This window comes from Homo sapiens, chromosome 18 (assembly GCF_000001405.40).
Source record: "Homo sapiens chromosome 18, GRCh38.p14 Primary Assembly".
Lineage (NCBI taxonomy): Eukaryota > Metazoa > Chordata > Mammalia > Primates > Hominidae > Homo > Homo sapiens.
In genome coordinates, this window is record NC_000018.10 from 5,524,150 (window position 1) to 5,542,176 (window position 18,027).

The 18,027-nt window shown below is 40.5% G+C and overlaps 1 protein-coding gene across 38 annotated transcripts in view; it reads right to left on the bottom strand.

Moving 5' to 3' along the window:
- Positions 1–18,027, bottom strand: part of EPB41L3 (erythrocyte membrane protein band 4.1 like 3) — a 238,278-nt gene that overhangs the window by 131,764 nt on the left and 88,487 nt on the right. The window contains exon 1 of one of the 38 annotated variants that reach the window (NM_001281533.2): positions 16,191–16,275. The exons of the other annotated variants lie outside the window; for them this stretch is intronic. The gene's annotated coding sequence lies outside the window, so the exon portion shown is untranslated. Of the gene's footprint in view, positions 1–16,190; positions 16,276–18,027 lie in introns of those variants that run through there. 38 annotated transcript variants of the gene reach the window in all.

The following is an 18,027-nucleotide window of genomic DNA, read 5'->3' on the forward strand; positions in this document are numbered from 1 at the left end:
AACTGGCCGGACTCTTTTCATTTTTTTTTTTGTTGTTGTTGTTTTTTGTTTTTTGTTTTCCTGAGATGGAGTTTCACTCTGTTGTCCAGGCTGGAGTGCAGCGGCGCAATCTCGGCTTCCTGCAACCTCCGCCTCCCGGGTTTAACCAAGTCTCCCGCCGCAGCCTCCCAAGTAGCTGGGATTACAGGCACCTGCCACCACGCCTGGCTAATTTTTTGTATTTTTAGTAGAGACAGGGTTTCACCATGTTGGCCAGGCTGGTCTCGAACTCCTGACCTCAAATGATCCACCCATCTCGGCCTCCCAAAGTGCTGGGATTACAGGCGTGAGCCATTGCACCTGGTCTGGACTCTTAACTACTATAGTACACAGCTAACAGTTGCTTTCCTACTATAATATAAACAGAAAATCCTTTTGGCCATTTCCATTGGTCATCTGCAGGAAATAAGGCTGTGCCAGAGATCTCAAGGGATTCCACTTCGCTAAAACGTAATTCAATCTCTCTTCTTGGCATCTTGCTCTCCGGGCCAAGCAAGAAGGCCAAATTCTTCTATCTTAACCACTCAAAAAGTTAGGGCCACCTTTTCTCCATCCATGGGGAATGTTTCTAGTGGAGAATGTGTGGAGCTAGCGTGGATCACATGCAAAAGGGAATGCAGCAGTGCACTGGCCAGGTCTGGGTCACCTGCCTATCATTTAGCCAGGGAACAGATGGCTCCTTGTGTTGACAGCCCCAAGTCATCCCCACAAAGGAGTGAGGAGCAGTTCTCCAAAGCAAGTGGGGGAGGGGCTGGTCTGAAATGAAAGATGCACACAATAAAAGCTCCCACTGTGAGCTCAAACCTCTTGATTGAACTTATTTCAGTTCTTCATTTCTAATCATTCATTCGTGGCAGAAAACCCAGTTTTAACACAGACATGCCATATTTCAATTTATTCAATCTAAAACGACAGGCAAAAGTGAGAGAAGCTAAGTGACAAAAGTCCCCTCTACCCTGATCCCTGATGACCTTTCTTACATTTGCTCCAAGCTGGACCCAAGTAGAGCAGGCCCCTGACAGCCCAGCAGCCACCCGCTCTGAGCTGGTCAGTGTGGTGCCCAGACAGCCAAAGCAACCAGGAGTTATCCAAGAGGCGTGCCATGGCCCTAGGAAAGCGCTCACAGACGCCAGCACTGGGATTTTGAAACAAACTCTACAAAGAATAGTAATATTAATAACACACAGTAACACAATGAGGCCAGCTTTCCTACAATTCCCATTTTCTATATGCACTAATATGCACATAAACATCACATAAATCCAATGAGGCTAGTATTACTATGCACACTTTACAGGGGATGACACTGACATTAAGTGATACTAAAGAACTTGCCTATGGCTGCAATATTAGTAAGTTACTGAGCTGGGATTATATGTAGAGATTATATAAATTTATAATGATAACACTGCATATCCCAAATCTGATCTAAAACTTCCACAATGATTATAACACATATGATTATTATAGACATATTATAATACATATGCATAGTTATTATGTAATATATGAAATGAGAATTAACAAATATCTTCTCAGAACTTGGAGTTATGAAGAAAATGATATTAGAGAATGCATTCTCTTTCCATTGTTAGTGAATATCTAAATTGATATTGAGATATTCTTCTCCACCATTCAAACAACTTGTTTTATCAGGCAGATGCATAAAAATAATTGCAGGAACCCTTGTACTTCCATCTGAGAAGATGTCTTCTATTGGAGAAACAACCAATGCAAATTTAGTGCTTATAAGGATGGTAATGATGCTGGTATTTCTACTGAGAAATTTGCCACCTCAGTCTCTTTGCAGTATCAGATAAAAGGCCACCAAGAAACGAGACAGCTCTATCAGGCAATTCCATTTTACAGAAAACCATAAAAACAATTATCTATGTCATTAGAGACTCTTTAAAAAGAGCTTCAAAACATCCAATTTGCTGTTCCAGGCCTGAGACATAATCCTGACTGTCCATGCTAAAGAGTAATAACATCCAATTGAGAACAGTTATTATCAGACATCCTAAAATCAGTGAAATCAAATACAGATGGAGCCAAAGAGGAGAAGCGCCTGTATTTCTTGGTCAAACTTAATTCACGTGGATCATCACTGAGGTAGTTCACAAGAAATGATGATGGAGGGTCCAGATGTCCCCACACCTTCACTTATTAGAAAATATCTAAGTTGACATCTTCTTTACCACTCAATCAACTTCCCTTTATCAACGAGACACATTCAAATCATTGCACTGATCCGAGTGCCTCCTCCAAGAACAAGTTTCCACTGACATCAGGAAGAAAGGACTGTAACTGAATATAAATTTAAAAATGAAGAGAGACCATTCGATTTCACCAATACCTACTGAGTACCTGGAGCTAAAGAAAAATCTCTGCCCTCCTAACATGTAGACAGATTCTCCCCAGATCTCTGCCCTACCAAAATGCATACAGATTCTCTGACTGGAGAAAAATTCAATTTTCAATTAAAAAAATAGAAATAAGCCAGCAATGGAAGCTTTCTTGTGAATGAGAAATTCTTCAAAACTAAGTTATAAATGATGTTGCCAATAGAAAACCACCAATATCTATCTTTATACTTCAGAATAATTTCCTACAGTGGTCCAAATGAAAAATTATCATTCGTGTTTCTTTAATTAGCATGCACACCTAATCAAACTCTCGCTTATCTACTTGGTGCTTAACTGAAGAGCTCAGAATTAAAAACCAACTGCACTTTGATTTTCCCAGCACTGAATAGAGACAGTGAAAATGAGAGGAGTACGAATTATTTTCCAAATTACAAGACAATAGAATATTCATTGGTTAAAAAAAAAAAAAAAACTGTTTACCTTAGACTGTGCTAAAATTGAAAGGGAACAAAGGGGCAGGCCAGATGGTATATCAGGGAAAGTATTAACAACGTGGAAGTGTTCATTCTTAAGGGGGAGAAATTATCCCAAAAAGCATAAAGAATCCCAAGTCCAAGTTAATTGAAAATGACCAAAACACAACCATCACCCTGAGCAGCATGACTCTCATTGCTCGGTGGGGTAAGGTCTTAGTCCAGCACACACTGATTCTCTCGTATCCCAAGAAGCTCCTGCAGTCAGCACAGGCAAGCTCTTCTCATCACGGAGTCTCACATTTTGAAGTTATATTTACAATTTAAAGTTAAATCAATCTTAATAAAACCATACCTGCTAAATAAAATGTTAAAGACTGAGCTGCAATTTTCCCTCATAAATTCGTGGGATTTTTTCACATTATATTTTAAACGACTCTTTCATTTGAGGATTTACTGAGCACCTACAGAAGTGCTGAGCAGTGTTCTAAAAGTTGGGTCTATGGCAGTGAACAAAATGGATAAAAATCCTGTTGCCATGAAGCTGATATTCTGGTTGAGGGAGAAACACGAAAACATAAAATGTGTAGTGATATGAAGAAAAGTAATCAGGGAAGAGGAGCAGGTTTTGTAGGATGTTGTGGGGGTTGGGAGGAGGTCTGTGCAAGGCTACACTAAGCGGCAAAGGATGAAGAAAGGCATGGGAGCCAGCTGTGAAAACGCAGAGGAAGAATGTTCCAGGCCGAGGGCTCGGCAAGTCCAATGCCTCTGAGGGAGAAGGGAGAAGCATGACTCAGTTCAAGGTTCAGTGAGGAAGCCACAAACCTTGCATAAAGCGTCCAGTCTTCAACTAATAAGAAACACACCATAGAATACTACAGATATCAACATACACGGATCTCAATCTGACTGTTAGACAACAACAAAAAGCTACAGAAGGATGTGCACAGTATACTATTTTAAAAAATATAAACATTAAAAACAATACCACAAATAGTTTAGTAATGCTAGAAATAGTGATGTGGGAAGGAAGAAAGACACGTATGGTTATGAGAAACACAAATCCAGAAGAGTCGCCTCTTCTAAGAGGGAGAGAGGTGCACATGCAGAGAATGCAGGGGATTTAGCAATTTAGGGTTGTTTTTATTTTATTTATTTGAGACAGGATCTTGCTCTGTCACCCAAGCGTGGAGTGCAGTGGTGCAATCATAGCTCACTGCAGCCTTGACTTCCCAGGCTCAAGGAATCCTCCCACCTCAGCCTCCCCAGTAGTAGCTGGAACTACAGGCACACACCACCACGCCTGGCTAATTTTTTTAAAAAATTTTTGTAGAGGTGGGGTCTCACTATTTTGCTCAAGCTGGTCTCAAACTCCTGAGCTCAAGTGATCCTCCTGCCTTGGCCTCCCAAAGTGCTGGGATTACAGACCCTGAGCCCAGCTGGGGTCACATTTTGTGCAGGCTGTGTATATAGGTCATCATCTTTTCAATCAACCCTTTTGTGTATCAGAAATATTTCATAATATTTTTGTAAAATAATTTTCAACCCCATTCCTGCATCCACTAGCTTCTTTTCTTTGTTTTTTGTTTTGAGACAGTCTCACTCTGTCACCCAGGCTGGAGTAGAGTGGTGTGATCTCAGCCCACCGCAGCCTAGGCCTCCCAGGCTCAAGTGATTCCCATGCCTCAGCCTCCCAAGTAGCTGGGATTACAGGTACCCACCATCACGTCTGGCTAATTTTTGTATTTTTAGTAGAGATGGGGTTTCACCATGTTGGCCAGGCTGGTCTTGAACTCCTGACCTCAAGTGATCCACCCGCCTTGGCTTCCCAAAGTGCTGGGATTACAGACATGAGCTACCGCACCTGGCCCATCCTCTAGTTTCTTAATTAACCATTGGATTGAACTGAAGCTTACTGCTTACCTTTGAGTAATGGTCAATACAGCTGCACTATTTCTGCTCATCTGTGATCAAGAATATGCTACCACTGGTGGAATCATTTCCATGATCATGAGAAGAAAGAGAGCATATTAAGGGAATTAAACAGCTGTCATCACTGCCCTGGCACTGCTCCGAAACGACACATTAGAGCCTTTTATGATCTACAGAAAAGGGCTGCATAAAAGAAAATACTGCAAATCTATGTTTAGTGCTTTAAGCTGAGCTGCCTGTCACAATTTTAAATACAGCCCCTCAGCTACATAGGAGGTAAACATTTCCAACAATGTCACCTTTGCCTCTCAATATACTTCTTTAAAAAATAAAACACGGTGGATAAAAATTACATCAAATACATACATATATATATATATATCTTACCTAACCTACAGTGGCAAAGACATCTGTGCTTTGGTTTCTTCCTGAGCACCAGGTCCCCCCTCTGTGCGCACCGCCCTCCTCTCAGCCCTAGCCCACTGCAGCCTGGCTTCCACCCTCAGAACACAGGGGGTTGAAGATGAAAGGGAAGCAGAGGTGAAAGAATCAGTGCACAAGCTTGGAAAACTGGTACTCCTCCTCCAAGCTCCTCATGGCGAACTCACCAACATCAGCGTGGCTAAATGCAAAGGGAGCATTGCAGCTCTCGTGTCATTTAAATGTTCAAGAACCACAGTGAACACTACCTCTTTCCAAATCACATTGCCCCAGCTCCATAGACCTTTTCCTCTTCTACTTCTCCCTTGCAGATTCTCTTTACTCTGCCCTCTCTCTAGTGACCTCAGCTTCTATGGCTTTCATTACCTTCCTATCTGGAGGATTCTGAGTCTTGATCTTTGAGCTGGACCTCTCTGGCTTGCTGGCTGATACATGAAGGCTACTAGACATGGGTTCTGAAATGTCCCACAGGAACTTCAGGACAAACTCCTGACCATGCCATCACCAACCCCACCATCAACTCATATATGTGTGTGTGTGTGTGTGTGTGTGTGTGTGTGTATCTCAGGGAACAGCAAGTGGGGCCATTCCCCTCTCCCTCACCTCCCACCATACCCAACATGTCACTAAGTCTCAAAATTCTACCTCCTAAACATTTTTCAAAGTATTCATTTTTCTCCATCTCTTCTACCACTTCCTTAGTTCAGATCATCCTCAATTCTTCCCTGGATAGTAACATTAGCACCATTTATTGGGTACTTATGTGCAAAGTACTTATATTTGGGGTTGCTGTATAGATTGATATATTGTGATATTAACTGTGACTTTTATTTTATAGAAAAAAAGTGAAGTTTCTAAGTTTAAACATGTGTCCTATAAGCATAAAGCTAGACTGCTATGGTGCCAGAAACTGTTAAGGAGTTCACTGAGTCATTCATGTATTCCTTCAAAAAACACTCATTTTTACCATAATGATATATTGTCCTTCAAAAAAGTAAACTCCCTAGATTACTAAAAAAGCCATATTAAAAGTACATCTGACCACGTCTTCCAACAAGGTAACACCCCTCACTGGCTCTGCCTCACCCTCAGGATGACATGGTGCACAGGGCCCTGAACTCTGACCCCAGCTGCCCCTAAGACTCATCTCTCCCACTGCCCTCGGAGCCCATCTTACTCGTCAGCCACACGAATGTCTCCCTCTTTCCTCCTGGCCTCTGTACACGCTGGTCAGTCACCTCCGACACCCTCCTGTCCAGCCGACTCCAGACTCTATCCAGCTCTCCCCCTTCTCCACCGCATGGCTCCTGGTCATCTTTAGGTCTCAGGTTGGACACCACTCCCTCTCCGTCCAAAGCCACACACCCACAGCTGGTAGGTGAGCTTCCTTTGTGTGCCTTTCATGCCCCAATTCCCCATCACAGCACTTGGGAGGCAACAATTAATTATGTCTGTGCTCAGGGTGACAGGAAGCCCCGCAAAAATGGGCGGTGACATTCATTTTGCTGGGTGCCTGGGTAGTGCTGGAAATATGTATGTACTCAAGATATACTCCACTGTTAGGCAGACGGACGGAGGCACAGGCTGCAGAGCAGAGCATTAAGGAAATCAGACATTCCTTCCCCTGAATGCTTTCCAGCTCTACTCCCTGACAACAGTGTCCATTATTTTCTCATGCATCTTACAGTTTGAAAAGTGCTTTCACATCAATTACACCATTTGATCTTCACAATAGTTCTGAAAAAAGAAGAGATGGCTGTTCTGCACATTTGTAGATGAGTGTATGTTTCTGAGAGGTTCACTGATGTGTTTTAGTCAAATCACAAATTCAAGCCTTTGGATGTGTTTCTCATGTGTGACCATGAGATACTTCAAAAGAGGAGGAGTTGTCACAGCCAAATTCTGGATTTTGGTTAGCCAGAATTGCAGTCAAAATTCAGAAAAGGGGCAGTTTAACATGGGTTAGGATCAGAGATAGATCCAGGTTTTTTAAGTGCCAAAGCTCTTGCAATTGGGAAACCTTTAAGAAAAAAGACTATAGGTTGGGCACAGTGGTTCACACCTGGGATCCCAGCATTTTGGGAGGATGAGGTGGGCAGATCACTTGAGGCCAGGAGTTCAAGACCAGCCTGGCCAACATGGTAAAACCCTGTCTCTACTAAAAATACAAAAATTAGCCAGGTGTGGTGGTGCATGCCTGTAATCCCAGCTACTCAGGAGGCTGAGGCACGAGAATCACTTGAACCTGGGAGGTGGAGGTAGAGGTTGCGGTGAGCCAAGATCATGCCGCCACTGCACTCCAGCCTATACAACAGAACAAGACCCTGTCTCAAAAAAAAAAAAAAAAAAAAAGGAAGAAAGAAAAAGGTTATAAAAGTCAAACTTTGGTGCAAACTTTGGAACATGATTCTGTAAGGAAGAAGTCCTGAAGTTTCAGCTTCATTAGCTTGAGGTGAGTCCACATGTCAGTGGAGCAGTAGAAGAAACTGAGCTTAGAAAAGAAAGAAGAGAATGTGTATTTTAAGTCAAAACACTATTACAAGGAAAGGCAAGGTACAAGAAAAAAGAGTGGTAAGAGTAAGAACTATCTGTTTAGCAGTTAACTAGGGCCTGCCGTGTGTGAGGCACTGTACCAGGCTCAAAGACACAAAGATGATTAGACATGGTCCCTGCCTGGTTCCACTTACAATCTAGAATTGACACCACACTTGCAGAGAAGGGGTGCAAACAAAAAGAAAGACTTGGTAAAATGTTAAACATCCCCTAAATGATAGTATCTACAGGAGCATTCCACATGCCAAGTCTCTGGGCTCTGATTATGCTCAGTGTTCACTGGTATTTGAAATCTTGTTTACTACTCATCCCCTTGTTTAAAATACAGTTTCCAGGGGAGTAAAACCTGATTGTTCACCACTGTAACCCCAGCACTGAGCACGGTGCCAGGTTCATAACAAGCATTCCGTAAGTATTTGTGGAAAAAACAAACAGATAAAAGAACAGAGAAAGGAACAAAACTTTACAAAGGCTCAAAGAGTCACATTTTGGCACATGCCATCAGTCTCGTCTTTTCACTTTCAGTGTGTATCTCAGTACTTTGATGAGTCTTTTAACTATCACTGGTGCCAAATGAGTATCCTGCCTGGACAAATCTTAATTTCAAAGACATGCGTTTGACAACCAAGCAGCTGGGAAGAAACACTGGCAGTAAGCTTAAGGAGGAAACCAGGTCAAAAGATGGGTTGGTTTAATTTTGCTTGGTTCTTTATGCTGGGAGATGCTTGAACTAGAATATTTGGAGAAGAGATCATTCAGAAGCTGGTTTGAGTAGAGAAGACCTGGATTCATCTTGGGGGTCAATAAAGCATTCACTGAGATAAGGCGCCTAGGGGATTGTCCTTGATCTGAGCAGCACGAAGGCCCTTACACACTCTAATATGACCGAATAAAATGCTTTACAGTTCTAGTCAGGAGAAGACTCAGACAAGGAGATCAAGCTGGAATCCAACTCTTAAATAAGAGCATGGAGAAATAAGAGGTATGATGGTAAGTCAATAAAGCCATTAAATGTTTTAGAGGAACATTTTACTGGACACTGGGCAAAAAAAAAGAAATGAAATTTAATTTATTAATATATGTATATTCACCCTTTGTCAAAGATCTTTTCACATGTCTTGTCTTAATGTGAAAACCCTCTCAGAGGTAACTCCAAAATCGCAATTTTTGATGACAACTGGGGGAGGTTCAATGAGGGGGAAAAAAGCCAACGTCTGAAAATGGTTACACAATTTGTCGGGCTTGCTGCCTCTTTGCGCCAAGACACGGCCATGCTGTCAGAAAAGCTTAAGACCTTGAGGCTGAATGGCAACTACAGCTCCAAAGACTGAAGTTCCTTCTTGAATTTATCTCCGGAGTCTAAGAAACTGATGCAATTCAAATGTGATATACAGTGACTTTTGTTTTGTTGTCCCCCTATGTGGATTATGTGAGTGTGTGTGTCCTTCTCGGATATGAGCATAGGAAAAAATGCTAATAAATTATAATGTAGTCTGACCATTTACCATTGATATGAATGTCACTAAACATAGCAACATTTGTAAAGAAAGCTTTTAATCATCTCAAGTTTCACATATATAAGTGAAGAACTTCATAATATCTTAAAAGTATCTGTAAGACCCACATAGCTCAGTATGATTTTGACCAGCAGGATCACATTTACTCATAGAAGCATCTCTTCTTCAAGGCCATTTTACTCTATTACCGATCACAAAGCAAGAAAATTAACCCCAACTGAAGACATATTAAGAGCTACGTACTTTCACTTAGATTCTTACTCAACCATTCTGACCATTATGCTACATAATTATCATTATCCCTATTTAATAGATAAGAAAACTAACCTTTTATCCTACTTCCTTAACCTTTTAAATTTTACATAATTTCCTAGGGCCACAGAAGTTATGGACCAGCCATAAAGAAACCCAAGGCCGGGCGCCGTGGCTGACGCCTGTAATCCCAGCACTTTGGGAGGCTGAGATGGGCAGATCGCAAAGTCAGGAGATCGAGACCAGCCTGGCTAACACAGTGAAACCCCGTCTCCACTAAAATACAAAAAATTAGCAAGGCGTGGTGGCGGGCGCCTGTAGTCCCAGCTCCTTGGGAGTCTGAGGCAGGAGAATGGCATGAACCTGGGAGGCGGAGCTGGCAGTGAGCCGAGATCTCGCCACTGCACTCCAGCCTGGGTGACAGAGCGAGACTCCGTCTCAAAAAAAAGAAAAAAGAAAGAAAAAAAGAAACCCAAGCATTCTGAGTCCAAGGCCAGGTTTCTTTGCTCTATGCTAAACATTTTCTTCAACCTTAGTACTATTTATTTATATTATATCTTCTTTCCAGGTTAAACGCTCATTTGACAATAGTGAAGAAGCTGGAAAGTCATTAAGACAAAAGTCGTTAAGACAGTGTGTCTCAAAATGTGGTCCTGGGACCACCTGGATCAGATTTCACCAAAGTACTTGTCGGGACATAAGGAGGTCTGGATCCAACTGCAGATCTATTAGATGATAATCCGTGGATTGGTCCCCAAAAATTCCTTTTTAATAAACTCATCAGGTAATTCTGTTGTATAACCACTGTGTCTCATTCTTTGCAAACCTCTACTGTTATCTGGAGTTTCATACTCAAAAAATTCTGCATTCTCATAGAGGGCCATCTTTTGGATTACGGGTTTTGTGGTGGAATGTCACAAAATTCTACACTCATCCTGAGGGTCATCTTTGGATCTTACAATTACTAAGACATGTCCCTAAAAACAAGCAAAGAGGACAACAGCATATACTACTGAAATGAGAAAACATGTACTATGTGTATACTCTCATTAGACTGGTTCTAGATGTCTTCAAACACAGATCTCATTTCAACCTGGAGGTAGGCAGCATCGTCATCTGTTCACTCTGGGGAACCTTGCCTAGAGAAATAGAGTACTCCTCCCACAGTTACCTAGCTCAAGGTTAGCAGATGTTTCCATCTGTATCTTCTCTAGCTCTTTGTATTTTCTTTATTCTGCAACAAGGATTCCCCACCACTGGGCCAAGGACAGTGGTGGTGAGCGGTGGGTGAGTCAGCATTACCACCTGATCTCCGCCTCCTGTCAGATCAGAAGTGGCATTTGATTCACATTCTTGAGTGAGAATGTGAGAATGTGAACCGCACACGTGAGGGATCTAGGTTGTGCATTCCTTCTGAGAATCTGATGATGTGAAGTGGAACAGTTTCTTCCTGAAACCATCCCCCACAACCCCCGTCCATGGAAAAACTGTCTTCCATGAAACCCCAACCTCTGTGCCAAGGACAGGGCCACACAGCAGGAGGTAAGCAAAATGGAGGTCCTTGGTGCTAAAAAGGTTGGGGACCCCTGTTCTACAATATAACTCCCCCCAATGAATTACTGCTCTCATTTCAAGAATTCAGAGGAAAAGTTTTCCAGACTTCTTGAGCAGACAACCTAGTCAATCTCTATTTTCCAAGTCTTATACTTAGCCAGTAAGCATATTCCTTCTAAAGTTAATAAAAGTTGTCACTGAGTAGCACAAAATGGTATAAAACACCAAAATTCATCAAGAATAATTCTCTGTAATGAAACTACCCAAAACTCCCTATATCTCTGGGATGTTAGTAACTCTAGGAAAAAATTACGTAGAAATATGCAACTGTCCGGGCCAGCCTGAGACCTCTAGATGCCCCGATGGCATCATCTCACAGAAGCCTGGGTGCACCATTCCAGCTAGCACCACCTTCAGGATCATAAAGCTATTCTCCCCAAATTGGTGAATGAAGACTGGATTCCAAGTAAATCCAAGATCAGTCAAAATCATGGGATTGTGAATAACATAACAGAGCAGCCCACATCCCTGACGAGGTGGCATAAAATCTGTGAATGGAATATGACATTTGTTACCATTCTGTTGTTGAGGACGAAGGAAGGGTTGGGAACTCAGAGAGAGATCAAAGGAAGCTTAATATTTTCCATCTCTGGGAGCCCAGTGACCCCGTACACCTACTAAACTATCCCAGACCCTGGATATTTTGATTCTGGAGAGTCTAGTTCAGGTCCAGACTGCTGCATCTGCTGTCCCTCGAGGCATGCCAAGAGGCACATGGGAGAATGATGGGCACCCAGGAACTCAGGTTAGGCTTTGCTGGATGAGCTCGCCCCTCTATAAAGAGATGACATTAAAATCTAAATTTAAAAAAGTCAGGAAATCTATGGTGAAAATTTGCTTGTTTTAGTTTGTTAGAACTCAATATTCACACACAACATTGAGATATACATAATAATCATCAGAGATTTTAATTTTTTTAAATATCCTGTTTTACCACAAGCCTCCTGATGTGTATATTAGAAGAGAGTCATGAAGTGTAGGCAGCAAGCAGAAGGAGGCAGAGGGGCTGGACAACAAGGCTTCACATCAACACCATCATTAAGGTAATGATCCTTTATCAATATTGCACAAGACCAAAAGAAAATATTTATTTACCATTAAAAATAATGATGTGGGTATAGATTTGCATGCATGAAAAAGCTCCTCCGAGACATACTGTTACATTTAAAAAAAAAAAAAATTTGGCCTGGTGCGGTGGCTCACACCTGTAATCCCAGCACTTTGGGAGGCCAAGGCGGGCAGATCATTTGAGGTCAGGATCATTCGAGACCAGCCTTGCCAACGTGGTAAAACCCCATGTCTACTAAAAATTCAAAAAAAAAAAAAATAGCTGGGCAGGGTGGCGGTTGCCTATAATCCCAGCTACTTGGGAGGCTGAGGCAGGAGACTCGCTTGAACCTGGGAGGCTCACTTGAACCCGGGAGGCAGAGGTTGCTGTGAGCTGATATCGTGCCACTGCACTCCAGCCTGGGCAACAGAGTGAGACTCTGTTCTCAAAAAACAAACAAACGAAACAAACAAACAAAAAATGGTTACATAGAAGTATTTAAGACAGAAGTCTATTCATGTAAAATATTATGTAATCTACATATGAGTCTGTATATGTACAAAATGATGCTACTGCTATTTATGAAGCACTTGTGATATACCAGATACTGTGCTCAGTGTTTGCATGTATTACATCATTTAATCCTCATATCCTTCAGATATAAGCATTATGCCCATTTTATAAACGAGCAAACAGGCTCTAGGAAGTTAAAAGAACCATGCCACATAGTTATTAAATAGCAAGGCCGAGAGCCCAACCCAGGTGTGTCCTATTCCACTCTGATACGTAATACATTCAGAAAGGTAGATAATGACATTGCCTTTTTTGGTTTTTCTGTATTGTTAGACTATATTTTAAAGTGAGAATGTATTATTTTTAATATCTCAAATAACTGAGATACATTCATTGAAAGGATAAGGAAAATCTTCCCATATTTCGTATATCTCATTTTCTACCTTAAACAATCCAAAAGTAGTATTTAATCCTCAGTTAAATACTCCCACAAAAAGATGGAATGAATTGCCAAAATATCAATCATTGAGAGAAAAAAACATCACATTCAATTTCTGCAAAATTTTGGATAACTCCATTAACTAAAGACCATCTGTCTCCAGATTCCTATTCTTCCAACTCATCCTACACTTATCACCAGAAAAAATATTCTTCTTCCCTACTCAACCACTTTCAATAACTCCCCACTACCTAGCAAAGCCCCAAATATCCCTTAGTCTCATATCCAAAAACCTTCCACAATCAGGCCTCACACTCCCTACTTAGATGCACCTCCCATTACTCCCCAGCATACAGGCTATATTCCAGCTAAAGGCAGGTCTCTTGACTTCTGGAATGTCCTATCTGGAATGTCTTCTCAATGACTAATTGAGAGTCTCTATCAAAATCCAGTCATCTTCCCAAGGCCAAAATGGAAAGTCAAAATGGGAAATGAAGAATTTTCAATAGATTTTCCCTATAAAAGGATCCTTTTATAGGAAACAATCAATAATACATAGAAAAACAATCACTGATACACAGAATGGACAGTGTAAAATAAGCATTACATATTATAAAGTACATTTCAAAAAATTGCATAGCCAAATGATAAACCATATTTCATAAGATTCATGACACTGATTATAAGAGATAACATCATGTTGTATAGCACTCTGCCAATTAAGCTATGACTCACACATTTTTAGAAACTGGAATTTTCATTTTCTTCTTATCTAAAGAACTCTGATTGAGTTATTCAACGCATAAAGAAAATATAAACAAAATAGATTGGCCAAGGTGTTCCCAAAAATTCTTACATATTCAGAATCCAACTCTACCAAATTGCACGTCAACTAAGAGTTACTGCTGTCTATGCTTTTCCACACAATATCAACTTGGGTCACCACGAGCACTAGAAATGTATCACTTAAGAGTGCTCCATTACTGTCTCCAGGATTTTCTCCAATCCACTAACATCCAATGTCCAATTTTTGATGCATATTCACAAACAATGAATTAAGTTGCCAGCTTTTTCTCTGCAACATGGCTGAGAGCCATGTAAGACATATCCCAATTTCAGAGATGTTAAATGTGAAAAAATAACTTTCTTTTAGAAATGATGAAATTTGGGGCTTGAATCAAATACAAAGAAACTCGCTATTTGAGGATGTAAACACAGGCATGTACAAAAATGACCAAAGAAGAGAGAGCTAAAACAGAAAATAGTTTTCCTCTCTTTAGTTGAATGCTAGGAGATCAATATCATCTCCCAGCACTAATCCTTTTCAGCTTTTGTCACCCTACCATTTGATCCCTCCCCTCTTCAGAGGACACCCTCCACACTGATGTCCTCCATGACACCAATTAGAGCTGGCAGGAAAGGAAACCGACTCCCTGCAGTTCTTCCCTCAAAGAAACCATTCTTCTTTTCTCTTGGTACCTGCAGAATTCTCTTCCCTGATATGGCAAAACCTCTAGGATCTACCAATTTGAGCTACAGACAGAGGTAACAACCTTGTTATGAAGAGGACCACGCCATTAAAAATAATGACTACATACATGAGTCTGGTAATTCTCATTTTTAAATAAAGCAGCAGTGCTTTTTAAGCTTTCTCCAAGATTTTTTTTTTTTTTTTTTTTTTTGGTAGTAAAGCGTAAGTTACAAATGGCCCCATTTTTTATACAATTTCGTAAGTATTTACTGAATGCTTTAAGTGTCTAGACCTTTACTTGGTTTGGGAAAGAAACCTGAAGAGAAATAACTCCCTATCCTCATCAAGCACCCACCCAATATAACTGGAGAGAAAAATATATACTCAAGGCAGGTTAAATATTACATTTGTTTTCTAGGTCTAATATAGACCTTTCTGCTTTCTCTCTCTCTCTCTCTCTCTCTCTGTTTTTAGTTTGTAAGGCAGGGTTATAAGAACAATGTATCAAAATGTCAGCAATCTAAAAATTAAGTTGTCAGCTTTTTCTCTGTACTGCAAATTACAAAAGAATTGGTGCTAATAGAAGCTTACAATTCCAAAGTATGCAATTTAACCAATCATCGCAAGGACTAAAAATGCAACACCAAAGACATTTCAACCAAGTAATCTGCAGTTCTGGCATCTAATTTCAACTTGTCTTCTTGTGCCATTCTTCCCAATTTGTTTCTTCTTTATGCTTTGAAACTGTGCTCTGGAATTGCTACATAGTTAAGAAAGAACTGCCCAGAGCTCCTACATACATAATACACTCACATGAAAAATGTCAGTCATGGAAAAGACAAGGAACATCTGCAGCCATTCTGTGGTTCTTCATTTTTTATGCTGATATTACTATAAATTCAGAAAGGAAAACATGAAATATACTTTATTGCTTCCGAATTTCAGTCTTATCATTTATTCAACACTAATTTGGGTGAAATATGTCTCTGATCATCTCTGCACTAGAATTCTAAATTAGGATTAAAATGCTAAATTATAAAATAATTAGTACATAAAACAAAAATGGAAATGGAAATCAATTACTCCAAATCACTGCAGATATCTTCTACTTATGAAACACCTTTTTCCATTTTTTCCTATTGCCAACTGCAATCACATCACTTAAAAATAAATGAGAACATTGCCTACCCAATAAGTAAATTGCATCTTTAGAGAGACCACATACTTTTTTTAAAAGACATTACTAATAACCTAAATCAAGAATTTAAAAAGAATGCTGTTTTAGTACAAAGAACAGTAAGAAATATGTTGCCTCAATATATAAATAAAAATATACTCATTTTTCTTGTTCTTTAATTTTGTAAATGGCCCTTCTAAAAAATTACAGTTTTCTCTACAAAAGGAATATTCAGTGCTTTCTACTATTTCACAAAAAACAAACAAACAAAAAACGTCTCCTTCCTTACTCTTGGAGACACATTTTCCCATGCAGTCTTATATTCATTTACACCTTTCAATTCTCCAAACAATACCTCGCAATGCAGTTCAACTTGAGAAAGGAGTCTCATTGATTGATCAGGCAAAGTTTTAAAGCCAGCAAGATGCTTCAGATGGTCTGGTTTTGCCTGCCCCACCCTTGTTTCCTTTGAGCCATAGTGATGTCACAACACCAGGCAGGACAATGACTTCACTGCTCCAGTCCTTGCTTCTGAGCACAGAATTCCCCACAGCCAAGGCAAATCAAATAACAGCAGAACCCTCCCGGGCTGAGTGCCTGATGAATTCCCAACAAATCAGCAGCTAGCTAGCCGTTTGAAAGAAATAGATGCAGCGATTGCACGATTAAGGATCTCTCTAACTGAAGTGGTGCTAAAGATAAATTTGATTCATAGGTTTCAATGGTGAGTCTATATTTCACGGAAAACTGATGGGGTACTTAGGGGAGACTATGGGAATTAAAGACGGCCAGGGTAGATTACTCAAGAACCCTCTCTCCGCCGGGCGCGGTGGCTCACGCCTGTAATCCCAGCACTTTGGGAGGCCGAGACGGGTGGATCACGAGGTCAGGAGATCGAGACCATCCTGGCTAACACAGTGAAACCCCTTCTCTACCAAAAATACAAAAAAATTAGCCGGGCGTGGTGGCGGGCGCCTGTAGTCCCAGCTACTCGGGAGGCTGAGGCAGGAGAATGGCGTGAACCCGGGAGGCGGAGCTTGCAGTGAGCCGAGATCGCACCACTGCACTCCAGCCTGGGCGACAGAGCGAGACTCCGTCTCAAAAAAAAAAAAAAAAAAGCTAGCAGGGTGTGGTGGTGGTCGCCTATAATCCCAGCTACTCGGGAGGTTGAGGCAAAAGAATTGCTTGAACCCAGGAGTCGGAGGTTGCAGTGAGCGGAGACCGTGCCATTGCACTCCAGCCTGGGTGACACAGAAGGACTCCATCTCAAAAAAAAAAAAAAAAAAAAAAAAAGTCTCTCTCTTCATTATATATACTCAAATTCTCACAGAAAGGAAACATTTATTCTTCAGTCTACTCTTGGAGTTCTATTTTACTGGAGTGGACATGAATTCTAATTTGTGAATTTTAGGGAAAGCACTAACTTAAAAGATGAATGCACATCATACAACACGGAAGAAAATACTTTTACAGCAAGTTCCTGCCACACTTAATCTAATATACTATATAAGTCCAGAAAAGATTCACAAGATAACAGCATCACATCTCTCAGTACATGGATAGTTGCCTCTCTTCTACCTAGGTGGCCCTTTAATACATTTGACCAACCAGTTTTTAAAAAACAATTATAAATAAAATTGCATCCGATCAAGTTAAAAAAAATCCTGATCTTTTATTTCAACACAAAGTTGTCCAAAGTCCAAGCAGTGTACATGAACTGATAAAAAATTGCTTTTAACCTAAATCGCATTCATGCAGAAGAAATGTCTTAAAAATTAAACGCAAATATTTCATTGAGACACTGACATTTGACCTACAGCTCCTGAATCCTTCAGCTAAAAGCGGTTTACAAATTAAAGTGGCTACTCTTCTTGTTATGGATGAATTATTCACAAAACATGTTCTGTTTTGAAAAACTTATTTTGGCTAAAGTGTATTAACTAAATAAACTTGATGCAGTAAGTTGTGCATCTGATATTTTGCTTTTCTAAACCACCAGAAAACCATAATGCAAATGAGACAGTATTCAGCATTCAGCTATCAATGCCTTGCAAATTAACAAATTGAAGTCACGCTTCTCCAATTTAGTATTTATTCCCTCTCACATTAATTTTGTTACTCCAACTAAAGTTTTTAAAGTTTGATACCAAAATTAACATGCATTTTTTAAACACTCACTCTGAGCCAAGACA